The 17,352-nt window shown below is 43.2% G+C and overlaps 1 long non-coding RNA gene across 1 annotated transcript in view, besides 1 other annotated feature; it reads left to right on the forward strand.

Moving 5' to 3' along the window:
- Positions 1-17,352, forward strand: part of LOC101928236 (uncharacterized) — a 220,247-nt gene that overhangs the window by 2,558 nt on the left and 200,337 nt on the right. The gene's annotated exons all lie outside the window — the stretch shown is intronic.
- Positions 1,626-2,127: an enhancer, noted in NCBI's record as "NANOG hESC enhancer chr3:156895672-156896173 (GRCh37/hg19 assembly coordinates)". NCBI's record gives its function as "activates a minimal SCP1, AML or CMV promoter by ChIP-STARR-seq in naive H9 embryonic stem cells {active_cell/tissue: H9 hESC(naive)}" and the evidence as "EXISTENCE:reporter gene assay evidence [ECO:0000049][PMID:30033119]".

Raw genomic sequence — 17,352 nt, forward strand, 5'->3', positions numbered from 1 at the left:
AAAGAGAGGGAGACATGGGGTCAGGAGAAGAGGGAGCACAGCGTGTGTAAGGAGTTAATTAGAACCAGAGGGCCTGGGTCTGTGGCTCATGCCTGTAATTCCAGCACTTTGGGAGGCTGAGGCGGAGGACCCTTTGCACCACTGCACTCCAGCCTGAGCAACAGAGTGAGACCCAGTCTCAGAACAAAAAAACAGAAACAGGAGAAAAACCATCCATATAAGCAGAGAGGTACTTAAAATGTTGCAAAACTAAATTCCAAATAACGTCTGTGGATTCTACAAAATCTAGGAAATACACATTTCCAATAAATCTTTGTACATTCATCTGTAATGCATTTCCTTAGGTGATTTGAGTCCTTTAGGAGTAAATCTGTATCTTTAGCTGTCCCAGAAGTAATCACAGGCGTTCATTGTCTATTCAATGACAAAGTATTGTGAACTATTCTATGAAATAATAAAATATCAGTGTTTTCAGAGTACATGGCCTTTTCAGTAGCCTTTTCAGTGTGGTGGCACGTGTTCCCAGTTCTGCCAGTGGATATTGTTATCTTTGATCTACAACTGGGAAGCTAAAACCCAGAAAGTTACTTGTCTAAGACTATACACCTCCAAGAAGGCAGAACTGTGGCTGCTATTTCCAACTTTCTAGTCTCTGAACATGTAATAAAGAACTGATTTCCAATTTACAATGAATAATAGAATTTACAATGAATAATATAATTTACTATAATATAACAACCGACCAAAGTGTGCTGTTTTATTACCAATTTCTCTCTCTCTCTCTCTCTCTCTTTCTTTTGTGACAGAGTCTCGCTCTGTTGCCCAAGCTGGGGTGCAGTGGTGAGGTCTCGGCTGACTGCAACGTCCGCCTCCCAGGTTCAAGCGATTCTAACTGCGTCAGACTCCCCAGTAGCTGTGACTACAGGCAGGCGCCACTACACCTGGCTAATTTTTGTATTTTTAGTAGAGATGGGGGCTCACCATGTTGGTCAGGCTGGTCCCAAATTCCTTGCCTCAAGTGATTTGCCCGCCTCGGCCTCCCAAAGTGTTGGGATTACAGGTGTGAGCCACTGTGCCCACCCCAATTTGCTTCTTTGGTGTTTGTAATTCTGCTTGGTCAACCGTAACTTGCAGAAATTGATTGGAACATATATTTTGATAAAGTATTTGAAGGTATTCCTGAAGTTTGATTTATGTTTCAGCTGCCTATACTGAAAGAAAATAAACTGCTGTGTATTCCATAATTTAAAAATAATTGTTCACTTTAGTGACATTTTGTAGTTGGATAGTGGAGACAAAAGATGATACTCTCTGTGATCTTCAATCTAAACATTTATGTTAGGACAAATTATTCCCATATCTGTATAATGCTATATTTCTTCCCTGACCTCTACAAATCACAGAAGCACCGTTATTCGATCTTGTTCTCTTTTTCAAAAAATTCTACCTTCCAAGGTGGTGGTTCTTTAAGTTTATAAGTGAACCATAAAGTAGTTGGAAACCTGGATCCCAGGATGGTAGAAACATGAAGCTTGTTTATTCCAAGGACAGTTTTATATATGTATAGGACTTTATTATCCTTACTATATACAGCATTTTAATGGGGAGGGGGAACCAGGAGCATTGTTGGGGGTTAATTTAATTTTTGTAGTTTTAAAATACAAACGAATGATTGTATCAGTCTTTTTTTTTTTGTATTTATTGATCATTCTTGGGTGTTTCTCAGAGAGGGGGTTGTGGCAGGGTCATAGGATAATAGTGGAGAGAAGGTCAGCAGATAAACACGTGAACAAAGGTCTCTGGTTTTCCTAGGCAGAGGTCCTTGTGGCCTTCCGCAGTGTTTGTGTCCCTGGGTACTTGAGATTAGGGAGTGGTGATGACTCTTAACGAGCATGCTGCCTTCAAGCATCTGTTTAACAAAGCACATCTTGCACCGCCCTTAATCCATTTAACCCTGAGTTGACACAGCACATGTTTCAGAGAGCACAGGGTTGGGGGTAAGGTTATAGATTAACAGTGTCCCAAGGCAGAAGAATTTTTCTTAGTACTGAACAAAATGGAGTCACCTATGTCTACTTCTTTCTACACAGACACAGTAAAAATCTCATCTCTCCTTCTTTTCCCTACATTTCCTCCTTTTCTTTTCGACAAAACCGCCATCGTCATCATGGCCCTTTCTTGATGGTCGCTGTCTCTTCAGAGCTGTTGGGTACACCTCACAGACGGGGTGGCTGGGCAAAGGTGCTCCTCACTTCCCAGACGGGGCGGCCGGACAGAGGCGCTCCTCACATCCCATACGGGGCGGCTGGGCAGAGACACTCCTCACTTCCCAGACGGGGCGGCCGGGCAGAGGCGCTCCTCACTTCCCAGACGGGGTGGCCGGGCAGAGGTGCTCCTCACTTCCCAGATGATGGGCGGCCGGGCAGAGGCGCTCCTCACCTCCCAGACGGGGCAGCAGGGCAGAGGCGCTCCTCACCTCACAGATGGGGCGGCTGGGCAGAGGTGCTCGCTTCCTAGATGGGGCGGCTGGGCAGAGGCGCTCCTCACCTCCCAGAAGAAGGGCGGCTGGGCAGAGGCGCTCCTCACATCCCAGATGATGGGTGGCCGGGCAGAGGCGCTCCTCACCTCCCAGACGGGGCGGCCAGGCAGAGGCGCTCCTCACATCCCAGATGATCGGCGGCCGGGCAGAGGCGCTCCTCACTTCCCAGATGATGGGCGGCCAGGCAGAGGTGCTCCTCACATCCCAGACGATGGGCGGCCGGGCAGAGGCGCTCCTCACTTCCCAGATGATGGGCAGCCGGGCAGAGGTGCTCCTCAGCTCCCAGATGGGGTGGCTGGGCAGAGACGCTCCTCACCTCCCAGACGAAGGGTGGCCGGGCAGAGGCACTCGCTTCCTAGATGGGGTGGCTGGGCAGAGACGCTCCTCACCTCCCAGACAAAGGGCGGCCGGGCAGAGGCGCTCGCTTCCTAGACGGGGCGGCTGGGCAGAGGCTCTCCTTACCTCCCAGACGATGGGCGGCTGGGCAGAGGCGCTCCTCACTTCCCAGATGATGGGCGGCCGGGCAGAGGTGCTCCTCAGCTCCCAGATGGGGTGGCTGGGCAGAGACGCTCCTCACCTCCCAGACGAAGGGTGGCCGGGCAGAGGCGCTCGCTTCCTAGATGGGGTGGCTGGGCAGAGACGCTCCTCACCTCCCAAAGGGCGGCCGGGCAGAGGCGCTCGCTTCCTAGACGGGGCGGCCGGGCAGAGGCGCTCCTCACCTCCCAGACGAAGGGCAGCCAGGCAGAGGTGCTCCTCACATCCCAGATGATGGGCGGCCAGGCAGAGGTGCTCCTCACCTCCCAGATGGGGAGGCCGGGCAGAGGCATTCCTCACATCCCAGATGATGGGCGGCCGGGCAGAGGCGCTCCTCACTTACGAGACGGGGCAGCCGGGCAGAAGCGCTCCTCATTTCCCAGACGGGGCAGCCGGGTAGAAGCGCTCCTCACTTCCCAGACGGGGTGTATCAGTCTTTAAAATCAGCAATAATGTTACACTGCTAGAACTTTAGAACATACAGACATGAAATAATATCCTCACCAGAAAAGTACTAACCAACTCTGTTACTGAGAAGCTTGAGAAAACATTTTAACAACATCTGCACTCAGGGATAAAATTTGAAATGAGAGTTCAAAGGACAAGATTTATTAACCTTATCTTTCTGTCTTACAATGAACACAGAAGCTCTCATAATTAAGCAATTTGAACAGAAAGATTAGCAAGGGATTGGTCTTTGTATGTTTAATTACTCTGAAGTTATAATGGAAAACCTCTCATGGGACAACATGTATTTACATGTTTGCAAATAATGCTTTGCTTTACATTATGTAGAAAATATTTTATTCCAGAGTATTGTGAACTTTCAAACATCTATTCTGTAGATGATTGAAATATTTTGGATAATTAATCTCAATTCATATTGATACAAATATCTTTGACTCTCATACTCTGTTGCAGTTACTATTGCTACATAGCAAATTGGCCCAAATTAAGCATCTTGAAACAACCATTTCTTATGTTCATGAATTTTGGGGAAATTCACATCAGACACGGAAGGAATAATCCCTGCTTCTTGTGGTGTCAGGTCTCATCTCTTAAGCCGGGCTGGCTTAAAGACTAGAATTGCTGATGGGAACACTCACACCTGGCTGCCTTATGTGATTTGGTTTCCTTACAGCTAGTGATCTCAGGGTAGTCAGACTTTTTACCAGGTGGTTCAGGGTTCCAAGCATGAGTGTTCTAGTGCACAAGGCTGGATTGCCAAGCTTCATTATCATGTCCACAGTGGTCTGTTGGTTGAAACAGTCACAAGCCTGCCCATAGTCAAGAGGTGTGGCCATAGACACTTCCTCCTCCACCTCTCCATGAAGAGTATAAAAAAAGTTAGGACCCTGTTTAAAAACTGCTACTTACTTTATCCAGCCCTCTCATAGTCATATTCAACTCTGAAGAATTTTTCTTTAGATATTTTCCCAAAGGGACTACATGTTCATAAACCCCCTACATGTGGGTGAAGGCCAATTAAACTGCCATGGGATGATTTTTCTTTCTCATGGGAAGCAGATAGAATTAACAGACTGTGGCTGCTGTTTTTAAACAAGGTATGCCAGTATCTGTATCCCTTCTGAGATGCGTTGTGTTTCTTCAGTGAGGGAGAACATGTAATTAATCCCTGTTGAAAGCCCTTTTATTTAGAAATCATGCTTGCTTTTACTCTTTATTATTTGGATATATATCTATGTCTGGAAATAGACTGAGAGGAAACTTGCCTGTTGATATCTTAATAAAAGTAATTAAAACATTCCCAGGGCCAGGACTAGGATGAGGTGAGTGAGGCACTTGCTTCAGCTGTAAAATTTAAGGCTACGCCAAAAAACTCAGTAATCCAAATAAATATTTTCATGTGATATTAAAGAAAGTTAAATCTAATGCCAAGCAATCTATAATCAAATATCAAAGTTTTAGATAAAGACAGTACATTATTTTCCAAGGGCTGCTGTAACAAAGTACCAAAAACTGGGTGGCTTAAAAGAACATACATTTCTTTTCTGTCAGTTCTGGAGGCCAGGGGCTCTCAGGAGGAAACCTCATGCCTCTCTGCTAGCTTCGGGTCATTGCCTGCAATCCCTGGTGTTTGTTGGCTTGTCTCCACTCATCTTCGCCTTCATCGTCATGAGTTCTTCCCTATGTGTCTCTGTGTCCTCTCCTTTTCTTTTGAGGACACCAGTCACTGGACTTAGGGCCCATTCTAATCCAATATGACCTCATTTTAAATAATTATATTTGCAAAGACCCTGTTTCCAAATAAGATCACATTCTGAGGCTCTGGGTGGACATGAATGTTTTGGAGGCACTATTGAACAATACAGACAGGATCAGTGTCACTGATTTTTTTTTTTTTTTGCCATAAGATCCAATATGGCTGAGCATGGTAACCTCCAATCTGCCTCAATGTCCAAAAACTTGCTCACACCTATTACAGGAGTAGATATTAAATGTGTTTTGGGCCAGGCACAGTGGCTCATGCCTGTAATTCCAGCACTTTGGGAGGCCGAAGCAGGTGGATCACCTGAGGTTGAGAGTTCGAGACCAGCCTGACCAACATGAAGAAACCCTGTCTCTACTAAAATTACAACAAAATTAGCCAGACGTGGTGGTGCATGCCTGTAATCCCAGCTACTTGGGAGGCTGAGGCAGGAGAATCTCTTGAACCCAGGAGGCTGAGGTTGCCTTGAGCTGAGATCACGCCATTGCGCTCCAGCCTGGACAACAAGAGCAAAACTCTGTCTCAAAAAAAAAAAATAATAAAATAAATGTATTTTGACTCAAAATAGACAATACATTATGAGATTTTTTTTAGTAGTTAGCATGGGCTGGCTACTGCCAGGTGAGCTGCTGTTCCATCACCTCTGGAACCAAAGACTGAGAAGTTTCACCCACTCATCTATTTCAGCTTCCACATGCCTATATGATGACTTCTAAATCTGTCTCTCCTGCCTCACTACTGTATGAATTCTAGATTCCTTTTTCCAACGGCTCCTGGACAGCCCAACTTGTTAGCCTAAAGGCATCTCAAATGTAACTTGTATTTCAATGAAGCATTTATGTCTTCTTGTCCTCTTCCCCATCTCCTTCATTGGCATATTCATCCTCCCCATCCCCTAAAACAAACCTTGAGAGTCTCTCTACTCTGGTCTCTCCCTCTTTTCCAGCATCTTATCTGGTTCCACCTCAGAGACAATTCTGGATCACCTTCCTCTGCCATGATTCTCAACCTTTTATCAGCAGGTATCATCTTGGGTATGGAGATGTTCCTATAGAATATAATGTTTATCGTAATCTGCTTGGAAAATAAGAGTTGTGACTGTGTAACAGGTTTAGATACTAAATATGTTTTGCCTCAGAAAATACAGTGAATTATACACAATTTTGTTAGCATGACTTTGACATTGTATATGGTTATATATATAAAATAGACATATACTCTATATTATATATATAAACTATATATTTTATATATTCATAAACCCTATATATTTATACACACACACACACACACACACATATATATATAAAGAGAGTGAGAGAGAGCAAGCATGAGCCTGGGCTTTCATGATTCTGCCCTCAGCCTCAGAAAGGCATTATGGGCATGCACTACCACCCTCATACTGGATGTTATGTTTTGATGCTTTAGTATTGCTAAACCTGGTCATCCAAAGCAAATTCCTTCTAGTCTTCTTTTTGCTGTAATAGAAACTCTGCTCGTCCTGAGGATGCTGCTCCCTTGTGGCCCTCTCTAGTGTAGCTGTTCACAGGCCTCCTACCCCTCGCTCTGAAGCAAAGTGGAAGTCCTCCCTTCTCCTTCTGGTCACTTCTGGACCATTTTTCCCCCCTCCACCCTACCTGCCCCAGTTTTTAGTCTCACGTTAGCAGATTGGCATGCTCTGTTCATGAACCTCCTGAGTTCTTCTCCCTGGTTTTTTGAAGATTTTTACCTTCAGGTTCACTGCCATTCTCTGAAATGACACCTGATTTCAGCATCCAAGTAGATGATCTTCCAGGAGCCACGTTTCATGGTTTCTTGACTTCTCCTTTTCCAACAATTTTGTTCTCTCTCTGTAGCAGCCACTCTACTCCATGGACCTACTTTAAACTGTGTTATCTCACATCCAAGCCATCATCTCAGTCTTTCTTTACCACTTCTAATCTTTGCAGCTCACTCTTCCTAGTTCTTTTCACCCCACATTATATTCTCACTATTCTCTTTACCTGGTTTAAATTCCATGATCAGTCATTATAATCACTCCCTTGCATAATCTCAGCACCCAACTAAACCCACCCAGCATAATATAATTGCAGAAAGACACACAACCATGCTTCCTGGGCTCACTCTAAATGACCCCAACCTTGAGTGGACTCTTAATTCTGTGTGGCAACCACATATTTCCCTGGAACATTCACCTTCTCCTAGATAACCCTTCTGATAATAAACACACTCTCCTGGATACCTAGTTTTCATTCCTTCCCTTCTTTCTTCTGACCTCTCATACTTCTCCCATCATCACTCTGTCAGTTTCCTTAAGAAAACAGAAGTGATCTGAATAGACCTCCATGGCCCTCACCAGCTGTCCACTCACCTTCTGCACCTGGGTCTACATACTCTGCCTTCCCTGATGTTTCTGTGGGTAGACTGTCCATGATCCTAGCTAAGGGCAACCCTTTCATTTGTGCCCAATGGCTCTTCTTCTTTCATTTATTCAAGGTAATTACAGCAGCAGTTGTACCCTCCTTCTGTATTATCAATTAATATCAATTGATTTTGAGATAGGGTCTCGCCCTGTCACCCAGGCTGGTCTCAAACTCCTGGCCTCATGTGATCCACCTGCCACAGACTCCCAACTCACTCAATTGATATTAATTATATATTAATCCATATCAATCAGTTAATATCATCAGTCAATGGATTGTTCATCAATACACAATCTCTACTTTGTCTAATAAAAAATCAGGCCTCTCTTTTGATCTCTCATCTCCTCTAGTTACTGCCCCATTTTTCTGTTTTTTTTTGTTTTGTTTTGTTTGTTCACAGCCAAACACCTTGCTATGATTTGGATGTGGTTTGTTTGTGCCCTCCAAACTTCATGTTGATATTTGACCCCCAGTGTTGGAGACGTAGGCCTAATGGGAGGTGCTTGGATCTTGAAGGTAGATTCCTCATGAATAGTTTAGTGCCCTTCCTTAATGGTGAGTTCTCACTCTATTAGTTTCTGGGAGAGCTGGTTGTTCACAAGAGCCTGGCATTTTCCACCCCCTGCCCCCCATCCACTACCTTGCTTCCTCTCTGGCTGCGTGATCTCTGCACACACTGGCTCCCCTTCTGCCTTCTGCTCTGAGTGGAAGCAGCTTGAGATGCAGATGTCCAGTCTTCAATTTTCCAATCACCAGAATTGTGAGCCAAATAAAATATTTTTCTTTCTTCTTTTCTTTTTTTTTTGAGACAGGGTTTCGCTCTGTCACCCAGGCTGGAGTGCAGTGGCACCATCTCAGCTCACTGCAGCCTTGACCTCCCAGGCTCAAGTGATTCTCCCACCTCAGCCTCTCTAGTAGCTGGGATTACAGGTGCGTGCCACCATACTTGGCTAATTTCTTAATTTTTTGTAGAAAAAGGGTTTTGCTGTTATCCAGGCTGGTTTCAAAACTCCTGGACTCAAGTAATTCCCCTGCCTTGGCTTCCCAAAGTGCTTGGATTGTAGGCCTGAGCCACTGCACCCAGCCAAATTTTTTTTCTTTATAAGTTATCCGACCTCAGATTTCTTTATTGCAGCACTAAATGGAATAGACACATCTCAACATTTTCCTAATTCCTCTCTTTCCATTCTTTGTTGGACCCACTCAAACCAGGTTTCACCCTTGCTGCATCACTAGACCTGCTCCTATCAAGGTCACTGTGACTGCTCTACCATTGGTTAATTCTCACACTTTACCTTTCCCAGCCTATCAGCAGCTGTGACACAGTGGCCTCTTAATTGGCTTTTCTGCCTTTACCCATGTTGCCTGAAGTCTGTTCTCAACACAGAAGCCAAAGTGATCCTTTTAACAGCTTTATCACTGGGTCAACTCATCCCATTCATCTCCTCAATAAGTTCATACTATTAATAAAAGCCAAAATTTAAATCATGTCCTAAAACCCTCTCAGTAATTCTGGAACCTTCTCTCCTGCTGTTCTCTCATAGATTTCTCCCTTCCAAGCACATTGGCTTCCCAGCTGTTGTTCCAACACACCTGGACACACTTTTCCTTAGGTCACGTCAGTAGGGAATTTCTTCTGCCTAGAAGGCTCTCCACTCATCATTATTATCTATCCTCTCCAGCCCTCCCTCCTTCCACCCCCACCACTAGAATGCAAAACCTGTAAGGCAGGGAGGTTGGCCCTTGTTCACTGCTCTCAGTGCTTCTTCACTGCTCTCACATAATCTCAGTGCTAAGAATTATGCCCATAGTAGTCCTCATACAATGTTTGTCCAATGACCGAAAGAACTCATGTTTTGTCCTCATCCTGTACCTTCCTACTTGTGTAACCTTGGCCTGGAATGCCCTTTCTCCCATCTGGAAAGTATTCATTCCTTCAGACTTACTTTTTGGTGAAAAGTCTTTTTCTTTTTCTTCTTCCTTTTCTATTACCCATGCTGGTGATTTAAATACACTTAACCACAATTACCTTTATTATCCCTAAGAAATTTAAGATTCAAGATGGCCAACTAGATGCAGCCAGGAAGAACATCTGTCACTGAGGGACCGGGACATCAGGAAGACTGGTGCACATTTAACAGATCTTTGGAGGAAAGGCATTAAGAGTGGACAGAGGGAGGACACAGATACTGGGCTGAAGGGAGAGGAAGCTGGGAACACTGCATGGGGCTACTGCACACTAGGACTTATTCCTGGCCCCCAGTGACTCTTGGGGAAGGGATGAGTTGAATGGGCAAGGAGTGACCCACCCTTACCATGGACCTCTGGAATCCTGGCAGCCAAAGACCCCATGACCCCCATGGACACTTAAGCTGGCAAGGATAACCGTTTAGAGAGGTAGTAGGGGCAGGACTCCAGCCTGCAAGGAGCCCAGGGGGTTTGGTGCAGGAGTGTCTGAAGTGGAGCATGACCAGGGATGCCCATCTCTCAAGGCTCACCATGCTCCCCTAGGAGAGTTTAGCCTTACAGAAACTATCGGACCTGAACAGAGCAGGACAGTCTTGCCTGTGAGATGTGAGCAGTCTTATCTGAGTGCCCCACTGTCTGCTAGCCTCTTCTTGGCCTGTCCAAGTCTGCTTGCAGTGCAGCCTCAGATGCCCAACTAGGGTGCGTTTTGTGAATCCATATCATAGATCCTTTGTTGTCATACCATCAGAGAGCTCCAAAAGAGCAGCCTGTGCCGACGTGCACCAACCCACCCACACCCTCCCCTGACTGCAGCCTCCTTCGCGTCACTTTGCCTGCGCTCATTTGCCCACGTCCACTCCACACTGCTTAGCCAGCATGGTGCCTGCCCTCCTTCTCTGACATGGGTGTGCACATGTACCCCACCATGCCACTGTTGCCGACATAAGTGCATGGAGGCCAGTGGCCTTGTCCCCCACGCATTGCTGCTGCTGCCAGTAAAAACACACACATGGAGCCGATAGCGCTGTCCCCATCAGTGCCTTGTCCCTGTGCACACACCACCACCAGTGTGAATGTGTACAAAAAGGCGACTGCCCCCAAGCCTACCAGTACCCCACCTAAGCTGCTGAGCATGGACCCGCCTTGCTGCCACTGTTGTTGGCATATGCGAACAAGCATAGATCCTGCTACAACTGCCCCAAAGAAGCACTTTTGCTGGCATCACCCATTGGAGTATTGTTGCTAGTGGTCCTAACCTCCAGCAGCCAGAGGACAAAGCCAGGGGCCCGATACCAGCCCCCTAGAGTTATAGCATGCAGCCCAGAAGTGCTGAGCTGATCCTTGGTCTCCTAAAATCTTCCAGAAATGAAGACAGTCAACTTAACCCACCTTATATAACAATCAAACGCCCAAGGGCATCAAAGAAGATAAAAGCAAAAAAAAATTAAAACTCATCCAAAGGACAGCAACTTCAAAGATTGAAGGAACGTCAGCCTATGCAAATGAGAAAGAACCAGCACAGGAACTGTGGCAACTCAAAAAGCCATAGTGTCTTCTTACCTCCAGATGACCACACTAGTTCCCCAGCAGTGGTTCTTAAGCAGGCTGAAACAGCTGAAGTGACAGAATTAGAATTCAGAATATGGATAGACATAAAGATAATTAAGATTCAGGAGAAAGTTGAAACTCAATCCAAGGATTCAATGGCATATGATAAAATTATGCAGGTGATAAAATACAAAACGGCTATTTTAAGGAAGAACCATACTGATCTGATGGAGCTGAAAAAGTCACCTAAATAATTCCAGAATATAATTACAGTATTAACAGAGAATTGACAAACTTGAGGAAAGATCTCAGAGCTTAAGACTTGTTCTTCGAAATATCTCAGATAAAAATGAAGAAAAAAATTAAACAATAATGAACAAAACTTCTGAGAAATATGGGATCATATAAAGAGAAGAAATCTGTGACTCATTGGCATCTCTGAAAGAGAGAGAGAAAGGAAGCAAGTTGTAAAACATCTTCCAGGATATATCCATGGAACTTTTCCCAACTTTGCTAGAGGAGCCAACATTCAAACTCAGGAAGTGCAGAGAACCCCTGTGAGATACTGCACAAGACAACCATCCCCAAGACACATAGTCCTCAGGTTCTCCAAGGTTGAAATGAATGAAAAAGTGTTAAAGGACCTAGAGAGGAGGGGCAGGTCACCTACAAAGGGAACCCCATCAGGCTAACAGCAGACCTTTCAGCAGAAACCCTATAAGCCAGAAGAGATTGGGGGTCTGTATTCAGCATTCTAAAAAAAATTCCAGCTAAAAACTTCATATCAGCCAAACTAAGATTAAGATAACTAAGATAAGCCAGGGAGAAATAATATCCTTTTCAGACAAGCAAACATTAAGGATGTTTGTTACCACCAGACTTGCCTTATAAGAGGTCCTTAAGGGAGTGCTACATATGGAAAGAAGAGACCATTACTGGCCATTAGAAAAAGACACTTAAGTACACAGATCATTGACACTATAAAGCAACCACACAAACAAGTCTGCAAAATAACCACCTAACAACATGATGACAGGATCAAATCTGCATATATGAATATTAATCTTGAATGTACATGGGCTAAATGCCTCAATCAAAAGGCACAGAGTGGCAAGTTGGATAAAGAAGCAAGACCCAATGGTATGCTGTCTTCAAGAGACTCATGTCACATGCAATGACACCTATAGGCTCAAAGTAAAGGGATGGAGAAAAATTTAGCAAGCAAATGGAAAACAGAAAAAAGCAAGGGTTGCTATTCTAATTTCAGACAAAACAGACTTTAAACCAATGAAGATTTTTTTAAAAAGGGCATTACATAATAATAAAAGGGTCAATTCAACAAGAAGACCTAACTATCCTAAATATATATGCACCCAACACAGGAACACCCAGATTCATAAAGCAAGTTCTTAGAGATCTATGAAGAGACTTAGATAACCACACAATAATAGTTGGAAACTCCAACACCCCACTGACAGTATTAGTTCAGTGGGGAAGAAAACTAACAAAGATATTGAGGACCCGAACTTTACACTTGACCAAATGGACCTAGTAGATATCTACACAACTCACCACCTCAAAACAACAGAGTATGCATTCTTCTCATCTGCATATGGCACATACTCTAACATTGACCATACAATTGGCCAAGAAACCATCTTCAGCAAATTCACAAAATCCAAAATTTGGATCACAGCACTCTTGGATCACAGTGCAATAAAAACAGAAATCAATACTAAGAAAATCACAGGCAGGTGCACTAGCTCATGCCTATAATCCCAGCACTTTGGGAGGCTGAGGCGGGAGGATCGCTTAAACCCAGGAATTCACAACTAACCTGGACAGCATATTGAGACCTCATCTCTAAAAAAAGAAAGAAAGAACAAAAGAAGGAAGGAAGGAAAGAAAGAAAGAAAAGAAAGAAAGGACGGAAGGAAGGAAAGAAAGAAAGGAAAGAAAGAAAATAAATCACTCAAAAAAAAACTATATGATTACATGGAAATTAAACAATGTGCTCCTGAATGACTTGGGTGAACAATGAAATTAAGGCAGAAATCAAGAAATTCTTTGAAATGAATGAGAGAGAAGATACAACATACCAGAATGTCAGGGATGCAGCTAAAGCAGTGTTAAGTGGGAAGTTTATAATGCTAAATGCCCACATCAAAGTTAGAGAGATCTCAAATTAACAACCTACCATCACACCTTGAGGAACTAGAGAAAGAAGAGCAAACCAACCCTAAAGCTAGCAGAAGACAAGAAATAACCAAAATCAGAGCTGAAATGAAGGAAATCAAAATGCAAAAAATAAAGTAAAAACAAACAATGAGTCCAGGAGTTGGTTTTTTGAAATAATAAATAAGATAGACTGCTATCTAGACTAATAAAAAAAGGGAGATCCAAATAAACACAATCAGAAATGACAAAGGAGATGTTACCACCAACCCCACAGAAATAGAAAAAACCCTCGGGGACTACTTCAAACATCTCTGTGCACACAAAGCAGAAAGCTTAGAAGAAATGGATAAATTGATGGAAAAACACAACCTCCCAAAATTAAAGAAATTGAATCCCTGAACAGACCAATAATGAGTTCTGAAATTGAATCAGTAATAAAAAGCCTACCAAAAAGAAAAGCCCAGGACTAGATATAGATTCACAGCTGAATTCTACCAGATGTATAAAGAAGAGCGGATATCATTCCTATTGAAACCATTCCAAAAAATTGAGGAGGGTCTTCTCTCTAACTCACTCTATAAGGCTAGCATTATCCTGATACTAAAACAAAGCAAAGACACAAGAAGAAAAGAAAACTTCAGGCCAACATCCTTGATGAGCATAGATGCCAAAATCCTCAACAAAATACAGCAGACTGAATCTAGAAGCACATCAAAAAGCTGTGAAGTTGCAAAGTTGGCTCAGCATATGCAAATCAATAAGCATGATTCATCACATTGTGAAAGGAAAATAAATCTCAGGGCCCCAAAATCACTAAGCCAAAGGGAAGAGTCAAGCTGGGAAGGGCGTAGGGAAAACCTGCCTCCTATTCTATTCCTAAATAAGATAGCTACAAAGATAAAAAAGCTGCAAATCTCCCTCAAAATTTGCCCACAGGGAAATTCCTTGTAGACAAAGGGCAGGCAGAACTCAAAGTCATCCTTCTGCTCTTGTGAGATAAATGCATATCTGATTGCTTCATTTGCCCTATTATTTCACTAAGCCAGACTAAGGCATAAGTGACTATTACTGTAAATTGTGCATTCAGTGAAAGGCTAATCAGAAACTCAAAAGAATGCAAACAGTTGTCTCTTATCTACCTATGACCTGGAAATCCCCTCCGTGCTTTGAGTTGTCTTGCCTTTCTAGCCTGAACAAATGTACATTTTACATAAATTGATTGATGTCTCATATCTCCCTAAAATGTATAAACCGAGGCTGTGCCCTGACAACCTTGGGGACATGTGGTCAGGACCTCTGGAGGCTGTGTCAGGGGCAAGTCCTTTACCTTGGCAAGATAAACTTACTTTCTTTCTTTTTTTTTTATTATTTAAGTTCTAGGGTACGTGTGCACAAAGTGCAGGTCTGTTACATATGTATACATGTGCCATACTGGTGTTCTGCACCCATTAACTCTTCATTTACATTAGGTATATCTCCTAATGCTGTCCCTCCCCCCTCCGCCCACCCCACGACAGGCACCAGTGTGTGATGTTCCCCTTCCTGTGTCCAAGTGTTCTCATTGTTCAATTCCCACCAATGAGTGAGAACATGTAGTGTTTGGTTTTCTGTCCTTGTGATAGTTTGCTAAGAATGATGATTTCCAGCTTCATCCATGACTCTACAAAGGACATGAACTCATCCTTTTTTATGGCTGCATAGTATTCCATGGTGTAATGTGCCACATTTTCTTAATCCAGTCTATCATTGATGGACATTTGGGTTGGTTCCAAGTCTTTGCTATTGTGAATAGTGCCGCCATAAACATACGTGTGCACGTGTCTTTATAGCAGCATGATTTATAATCCTTTGGGTATATACCCAGTAATGGGATGGCTGGGTCAAATGGTATTTCTAGTTCTAGATCCTTGAGGAATCGCCACACTGTCTTCCACAATGGTTGAACTAGTTTACACTCCCACCAAAAGTGTAAAAGTGTTCCTGTTTCTCCAATATCCTCTCCAGCACCTGTTGTTTCCTGACGTTTTAAGGATCACCATTCTAACTGGTATGAGATGGTATCTCATTGTGGTTTTGATTTGTGTTTCTCTGATGGCCAGTGATGATGAGCATTTTTCCATGTGTCTGTTGGCTGCATAAATGTCTTCTTTTGAGAAGTGTCTGTTCATATCCTTCGCCCACTTTTTGATTTTGATGGGGTTTTCTTCTTGTAAATTTGTTTGAGTTCTTTGTAGATTCTGGATATTAGCCCTTTGTCAGATGGGTAGATTTCAAAAATTTTCTCCCATTCTATAGGTTGCCTGTTCACTCTGATGGTAGTTTCTTTTGCTGTGCAGAAGCTCTTTAGTTTAATTAGATCCTATTGGTCAGTTTTGGCTTTTGTTGCCATTGCTTTTGGTGTTGTAGACATGAAGTCCATGCCCTTGCCTATGTCCTGAATGGTACTGCCTAGGTTTTCTTCTAGGGTTTTTATGGTTTTAGGTCTAACATTTAAGTCTTTAATCCATCTTGAATTAATTTTTGTATAAGGTGTAAGGAAGGGATCCAGTTTCAGCTTTCTACATATAGTTAGCCAGTTTTCCAAGCACCATTTATTAAATAAGGAATCCTTTCCCCATTTCTTGTTTTTGTCAAGTTTGCAAAGATCAGATGGTTATAGATGTGTGGTATCATATCTGAGGGCTCTGTTCTGTTCCATTGGTCTATATCTCTTTTTTGGTACCAGTACCATGCTGTTTTGGTTGCTGTAGCCTTGTAGTATAGTTTGAAGTCAGGTAGCGTGATGCCTCCAGCTTTGTTCTTTTGGCTTAGGATTGTCTTGGCAATGCAGGCTCTTTTTTGGTTCCATATGAAATTTAAAGTAGTTTTTTCCAATTCTGTGAAGAAAGTCATTGGTAGCTTGATGGGGATGGCATTGAATCTATAAATTACCTTGGGCAGTATGGCCATTTTCACGATATTGATTCTTCCTATCCATGAGCATGGAATGTTCTTCCATTTGTTTGTGTCCTCTTTTATTTCGTTGAGCAGTGGTTTGTAGTTTTCCCTGAAGAGGTCCTTCACATCCCGTGTAAGTTGGATTCCTAGGTATTTTATTCTCTTTGAAACAATTGTGAATGGGAGTTCACTCATGATTTGGCTCTCTGTTTGTCTGTTATTGGTGTATAGGAATGCCTGTGATTTTTGCACATTGATATTGTATCCTGAGACTTTGCTGAAGTTGCTTATCAGCTTAAGGAGATTTTGGGCTGAGACGATGGGGTTTTCTAAATATACAATCATGTCATCTGCAAACAGGGACAATTTGACTTCCCCTTTTCCTAATTGAATACCCTTTATTTCTTTCTCCTGCCTGATTGCCCTGGCCAGAACTTCCAACACTATGTTGAATAGGAGTGGTGAGAGAGGGCATCCCTATCTTGTGGAAGTTTTCAAAGGGAATGTTTCCAGTTTTTGCCCATTCAGTATGATATTGGCTGTGGGTTTGTCATAAATAGCTCTTATTATTTTGAGATACGTCCCATCAATACCTAATTTATTGAGAGTTTTTAGCATGAAGCGTTGTTGAATTTCGTCGAAGGCCTTTTCTGCATCTATTGAGATAATAATGTGTTTTTTGTCTTTGGTTCTGTTTATATGATGGATTACATTTATTGATTTGCGTATGTTGAACCAGCTTTGCATCCCAGGGATGAAGCCCACTTGATCACTGTGGATAAGCTTCTTGATGTGCTGCTGCATTCGGTTTGCCAGTATTTTATCAAGGATTTCTGCATCAATGTTCATCAGGGATATTGGTCTAAAATTCTCTTTTTTTGTTGTGTCTCTGCCAGGCTTTGGTATCAGGATGATGCTGGCCTCATCAAATGAGTTAGGGAGGATTCCCTCTTTTTCTGTCAATTGGGATAGTTTCAGAAGGAATGGTAAAAGCT

The sequence above is a fragment of the Homo sapiens genome, chromosome 3, assembly GCF_000001405.40.
Source record: "Homo sapiens chromosome 3, GRCh38.p14 Primary Assembly".
Taxonomy (NCBI): domain Eukaryota; kingdom Metazoa; phylum Chordata; class Mammalia; order Primates; family Hominidae; genus Homo; species Homo sapiens.